General features: G+C 42.4%; 1 pseudogene across 1 annotated transcript in view, besides 1 other annotated feature; it reads left to right on the forward strand.

The window, feature by feature from the left end:
* Nucleotides 1–3,977, forward strand: part of LOC100419170 (toll like receptor 2 pseudogene) — a 41,019-nt pseudogene extending 37,042 nt beyond the window's left edge. The window contains exon 3 of the transcript NR_134873.1: nt 1,293–3,977. The product of NR_134873.1 is annotated as a toll like receptor 2 pseudogene (transcript). The remainder of the gene's footprint in view (nt 1–1,292) is intronic.
* Nucleotides 6,789–6,968: a silencer, noted in NCBI's record as "silent region_15766". NCBI's record gives its function as "represses an Ori minimal core promoter by ATAC-STARR-seq in GM12878 lymphoblastoid cells {active_cell/tissue: GM12878}" and the evidence as "EXISTENCE:reporter gene assay evidence [ECO:0000049][PMID:35858748]".

Genomic DNA, 7,007 nt, shown 5'->3' on the forward strand with positions numbered 1-7,007 from the left:
GAAACTGAATGAAAAGAAAACAGTGGTTACACAGCTTATATTCCTGACTTTGAATCATATCATGACTCATTGTTTTTCCAACTACATGGAAGTTGGCAACCCCTACACAGACTGGCATACCACAAAGTTGGACTCAGCAGTTATTTGGCTAAGATATATATATAGATATATAGATATATATCTATATTATATATATAGAGAGAGAGAGATTGAGAGAGATGGAGTCTCAACTCTGTCTTGCCCAGGCTGGAGTGCAGTGGCATGATCTCAGCTCACTGCAGCCTCCGCCTCTTAGGTTCAAGTGATTATCCTGTATCAGCCTCCCAAGTAGCTGGGAATACAGGCGGGTACTGCCACACCCAGCTAATTTTGTATTTTCAGTAGAGATGGGGTTTCACCATGTTGGCCAGGCTGGTTTCAAACTCCTGACCTCAGGTGGTCCACCTGCCTTGGCTTCCCAAAGTGTTGGGATTACAGGCGTGAACCAGGCTAAGATATTTTAGTACATTTTTCAAGGTGCTCCAAATAAGTTAGAACTTGATAAAATTCTACCTTCTTTTCATATTCTTCTCTGAAGTGGTCTGAAAGGCCATATAACCCTTATATATATTAAAATGATATCAGTCACTCATGGTTTTGCTTGACTATGTGGGTGAAAATAGTGCACTATATTTCTTCATTCCCATCTTTAAATGAAGTCAGCTCTTGTGTGGTGGAGGCAAGATGTCAGTCAAGACAAGGGGCCTGGTCTAGGCTTCTTTCCCCTGAAGTCTTGTCTCTGCAATGGCCACTTCAGATGTTTATACTCCATTCCTCCAGGTCTAGCCCATATTCTGAAAAGGCAAGGCAATCCACCACTCAACAAGTATTCATTGAGTGCCAGCCATGCTATTGGGGATGAGAATAGTTCAGTGCATAAAAGAAAACAAAATCCCTGCCCCATGGGATTTACATCCAGTCATACTTAGCAGATGTGTGTGAATCTGGAAGCACCTTTTCTATAGCCTGACAGAATTCTTACAACAGGTGAAAACTACTTGCCTTGTCTTCGGGAGCCTTGTGCATTTGGATCTATCCTTTAACAACTAACCTTGTCTATCATCCTCACAGTCTGACTCTTTACTTCTGGGATAGTCCAACAGAGACTTGAGGAAATGTTTCCTTCTCTCTTTTTCCATTTTCCCAAATTTAAATTCATGAAATATATATAAGTTCTCTAAATTAAAAACAACAGGATATTTTACCAACTTTCTGTTCTGAACTAATTTAAAATTTATGTTTCCAATCCCCAGAGATATGAACTAAAAAGCCTGAAATAAATGTAGATCAGTCACTTGAGCTGACATATGAAGCAGTCAACTTTACTCTGAGACGTTTTGTTTGATCTTTCAAGTTTCTAAAAGTATTTGGAAGCGGGAAACACTGTTCTTCATATGAGATAAAAGGAAGAAAAAAGGACCTTATAGTCAGGCTCATTGTGAAAAAACTAATATTAAGATAAGCTGAAGCAATCAAATGAGAGCATTTGCAAATCACTTGTTGGAGGTAAAGCTGGAAGCCTATGTAGTTCAGGAAAATGGAAGATGAGATGGCTGAGATCCCACGAAAAGACCACGTCCAATAGAAACTGTAATAAAACAGAGCTCAGCTACAGGAATTTTCAATGATGACAAAATTTTAAAGACATGCTTCTACTTTTGTATTGACTAAAGATCTTCAGGTTGAAAGTGTCAAGATCTGCTTAATAGCATATCCTCTGTTGCAACATTCAAAATCATCAGGATTCTTAGATCTCAGTGAAAAATTGATGTTTGAAGAATAATTGAAGTATTCAGTCCATAAGGAAGCCTGAAGCTCCCTATACACCTTGAATTTCATGCTAAATAATCTGCAAGTTCTGGAAAATGCTGCTTAACTCTAGAAAAACTGACTAACCTTGATCTTGGTCAGCATATACTTGGTTCTTTACATATCACTTATCAATGGTCAGAAAGGGAAGAATACTTGAACTTATCTAACACAAAAATTCACAATTTAACCAATTGTTTCCCAGACACGAGGCTTACTAGAAGTGAGCCTTGTAAACTTTTATTTAGCTGCAATTTAAATAACTTTACATTTTCAGATATGTGTTGAAGACCCTACCAGATGCTTTCTTCCCCTTTGAGAAGAAGCAGGAAAAGAAAACTTTCTCTAAAGGGCAACTTGACTCTTTTCACACACTGAAGACTTTGGAAGCTGGTGGCAACAACTTCATTTGCTCCTGTGAATTCCTCTCCTTCACTCAGGAGCAGCAAGCACTGGCCAAAGTTCTTATCGGTTGGCCAGCAAACTACCTGTGTGACTCTCCATCCCACGTGTGTGGCCAACAGGTTCAGGACGTCTGCCTTTTGGTGTCGGAGTGCCACAGGGTGGCACTGGTGTCTGGCATGTGCTGTGCCCTGTTCCTGCTGATCCTGCCCATGGGGGTTCTGTGCCACTGTTTCCACAGCCCGTGGTACATGAAAATGATGTGGGCCTGGCTCTAGGCCAAAAGGAAGCACAGGAAAGCTTGCAGCAGGGACATCTGCTATGACGCATTTGTTTCTTATAGTGAGCAGGATGCCTACTGGGTGGAGAACCTTATGGTCCAGGAGCTGGAGAACTTCAATCCCCTCTTCAAGTTGTGTCTTCATAAGTGGGACTTCATTCCTGGCAAGTGGATCATTGACAATATCATTGACTCCATTGAAAAGAGACACAAAACTGTCTTTGTGCTTTCTGAAAACTTTGTGAAGAGTGAGTGGTGCAAGAAGGAACTGGACTTCTCCCATTTCCGTCTTTTTGATGAGAACAGTGATGCTGCCATTCTCATTCTTCTGGAGCCCATTAAGAAGCCATTTGCCTTAGTCAATCTGGGCTGCTATAGCAAAAATGCCAATAGACTGGGTAGTTTATAGATAAGAGAAATTCATTTCTCACAGATCTAGAGGCTGGGAAGTCCAAGATCAAGGTGTTGGCAGATTTGGTATCTGGTGAGGAACTCTTCCAGGCTCAAAGATAGCTGTCTTCTCACTGTGTTCTTGGTGGTGGAAGGGGTGAGGGAACTCTCTGAAGTTTCTTTTGGAAGGGAACTAATCCCATTCATGAAGCTTCTGCCCCCATGACCTAATCACTCATCAAAGGGCCCACCTCCAGTACCTCACATTGGGGGTTAGGATTTCAACAGATGAATTTCAGGAGGACACAGGCCTTCAGTCTATGGCTAGGATCATTCCCCAGCATTTCTGTTAAGCTGCAGAAGATAATTAACACCTAGACCTGCCTGGAGTGGCCACTAATGAAGCTCAGCGGGAAGGGTTTTAGTTAAAGAAAACTCCTAGTTTTTAGTTCGACCATTGTGGAAGACAGTGGTGATTCCTCAAGGATCTAGAACTAGAAATACCATTTGACCCAGCCATCCCATTACTGGGTATATACCCAAAGGATTATAAATCATGCTACTATAAAGACACATGCACACGTATGTTTATTGCGGTACTATTCACAATAACAAAGACTTGGAACCAACCCAAACGTCCATCAATGATAGACTGGATTAAGAAAATGTGGCACATATACACCATGGAATACTATGCAGCCATAAAAAAGGATGAGTTCATGTCCTTTGTAGGGACATGGATGAAGCTGGAAACCATCATTATGAGCAAACTATCACAAGGACAAAAAACCAAACACTGCATGTTCTCACTCATAGGTGGGAATTGAACAATTCCCACCTGGACACAGGGTGGGGAACATCACACACCAGGGCCTAACGTGGGGTGGGGGGCTGGGGGAGGGGTAGCATTAGGAGAAATACCTAATGTGAATGACGAGTTAATGGGTGCAGCACACCAACATGGCACATGTATACATATGTAACTAACCTGCACGTTGTGCACATGTACCCTAGAACTTAAAGTATAATAATAATAAATAAAACATATCAAAAAAAAGAAAAATGAGCTTGGGAGTCATCATGCCTCCTGCTCCCTTCCCCTGCCCCCAGCCCCCAGCCCCACTTCTGGCTGGGACCTTTGAAGAGTGCAGTTCCCTCTTCCCCATAATTCATTCTGTCCATCTACTCATTCCAACACACTTTTTGATCTGATTTCTATGGCTCAGCTCCAAGGTGCTTGCCTCAGTCCCCTGGCCCGCAGGAGCCCACAAAAAAAAAAAAAAAAAAAAACTCCTAGTTTTTAAAAGGGAAATATATACAACATGAAATATTCTGTTTTCAGAACTTGGTTCTATGTTAACTTAGAAGTTTACTACTATTATTTTGCATAGGCAATATTTTTGAAATGTCTTAAAAAATTACGGACATACGGACATCTGTGCAGAGTAAAAAAATTTTGAAGAATGTATGTTCATGTATAAAGATCTGTAAAATAATGCAGGATTTATGGCATATTTTCATTAAGTGGTTTTCGGTGGATGAGTTTCTTATTATTTCATCTGACAATTACAATATACTTTATGTGAAAAAGACATAGACTGTGTGTTTTGTTTTGTTTTTTCGAAACAGAGTCTCACTCTTATCTCCCAGCCTCAACACACTGGACTCAAACGATCCTCCAACCTCAGCCTCCTGAGTAGCTGGGGTTACAGCTACAAACCATCATGCCTGGCTAATTTTTGAATTTTTGTAGAGATGGGGGTCTCCCTGTTTTGCCCAGGCTGGTCTCAAACTCCTGGACTCAAGATCCTCCTGTCTTGGGCTCCCAAAGTGCCGGGATTACAGGTGTGAACCACCACGCTGGCCTTGTGTTTTCGGATAACTTTCAGATAACAGCTTAGGATTTCAGTTAGATGCTCAAAACTATGAATATATACAATGAAAGTTACCCTTTCCCCAAATATTAGTACATTTCATATGCCGTGTTGATTTTCTAACTTTAATCAACATTTTTCTTTTTTTTGGTAGAGAGTTATAGGAGGTCTTATATCTAGATACAGAAGGAGACTTGGAGTCTAACCTGGGATTTGCCACATGTTAACTGTGAGCCATGCGACTCTGGGCAAGTTCCCTAATCACTTTAACCAAAGGAATAGTAATATCAGAATTATTTATTGCATGTGTTATTGTAAGATTCAGATGAAATTCTAGATGTGAAGGTGCTTCAAAAATGTCAAGAACTAGGCCGGGTGCTGTGGCTCACACCTGTAATCCCAGCACTTTGGGAGGCCTAGGCTGGTGGATCACTTGGTGCCAGGAGTTCAAGACCAGCCTGGTCAACATAGCAAAACCCTGTCTCTACCAAAAATACAAAAATTAGCCAGGCGTGGTGGCACGCACCTGTAATCCCACCTACTTGGGAGGCTGAGGCAGAGAATTGCTTGAATCTGGGAGGTGGAGACTGCAGTGAGATGAGATTGCACCACTGCACTCCAGCCTGGGTGACAAAACGAGACTCCATCTCAGAAAAAAAAAAAAAAAAAAAGAAAATGTCAAGAACTGAACAAGTATAAGGACTGTGTCTGAATTGGACGTGCTAATAGCTTTGTGGACAGTGTACAACTACCTTCAATATATGCAGAGGACACTGATTTGTGGCTAAATAAATGATTTCTATCTGACTTTGCCAGACAATTCTAATTGACTTTGGGATTATAGAGCAATAGCATCAAAATCCACCTTAGGCAGTTCAACTAGGGAAGAGAAATAGAGAAAAAACAAGTTTTTAGTTTCAGGAGAAATAATTTGAAGGAAGTTTTCTTTTGTCAGAAATCACAAGGTAGAGAGCTGGAGATTTGGAATTAATAAGAAAGCATTTTCAGCCAGCTGGACAACCTGATGGTCAGGATAAAGAAAAATAGTAAGATAGTGACCTGTATACAAAAACCTCTCAATTTCATATTTAGGTCTATTGATTAAGTTTCCCTGATGTTCCAACCATCAGAGAGGATTAGGGATGTGGAACAGGGTAGGAGAAACAGCCCTGGATTTAAGGTAAAATTCTGGTTTCAAATCTCAGTTCTGTCATATGTTATACAATTCACATGACATTTTCTTGTGTAAGGGAGGAACAAGGATGCTTGCTCTGCTTCATATCTCACTTTGTGAAAATCAAATGTAATTATGAACATAAAAGGTAGATTATTAACATTAAGGCAGTTGAATTTTAAAAGCTTGTTTTCTTCCCTTATACATATTCCTAACCGTGGAGACAGCTAGGTTCTGTGGCAATGAAGAAAATTGATCAATGACTGTTTTTGGTATTACTTTGGGAAGTAGGGATGGAATAGGGGCAAGGGAAGGGCTTAGCTTCAAACTGTAGACAGAAGTGGGAAGCCCAAATCTTTGCATGGTGAGAAGTGGGATGGAATGTAGGTGCTAGAGATGGTGCACCAGTAGGGACTGTCACTGGATTGGGGAAAAAAATCCGGGGCTGTCCTTATCTGCTCCCTTAGGCAAAATCGTTCTGTGTTAGTCTGGAGGGTGAACCTATTTTAATGCAGGAGGGCATAGACTTTTGGGTGGAAGCGGACCCTGGAGATGTACTGGCAGGTGAATAGAGTGTGGAAAAGTGGGGAAAGGAGAAGCACGATTCATGAGCCTGAGTTCGGGCTTCCATGGATGGAAAAGCATCAGGAGTGGAATTTAAAGACGGTGTGTTTCAGGTGATGTGAGGTCCTGGATGCCCGAAGCTTCAAGAAAATACTGGTTGGGCACTTAGCTTTCCCTGTGGTTGCCAATCCCACGCAGGCCGCCTCTAGCGTCTCGATTCGCTTTTCTCTGACCTGGAACCTCCGCCAAGCCCCCAGCTCTCTTCTTCGACCCAGCCTTGCACGGGGCAGCTGTCGGGGCAGGACCCGCCTCTGGCCTGTCGCAGCCTAGCTCACGGTCAAGGGCGGGAGCCTGCTGGGAAGCACGGCCGCGGGGGCTCGCTCGGGGCCACCTGCCTGGAACTCAGCGCGAGGTCCAGAGTTCCCTCCGGCTGCGCAGCGGCGCACGTGCCCCGTGGAAGGGGCGGTTCCCGCAC

The sequence above is a fragment of the Homo sapiens genome, chromosome 4, assembly GCF_000001405.40.
Source record: "Homo sapiens chromosome 4, GRCh38.p14 Primary Assembly".
Taxonomy (NCBI): domain Eukaryota; kingdom Metazoa; phylum Chordata; class Mammalia; order Primates; family Hominidae; genus Homo; species Homo sapiens.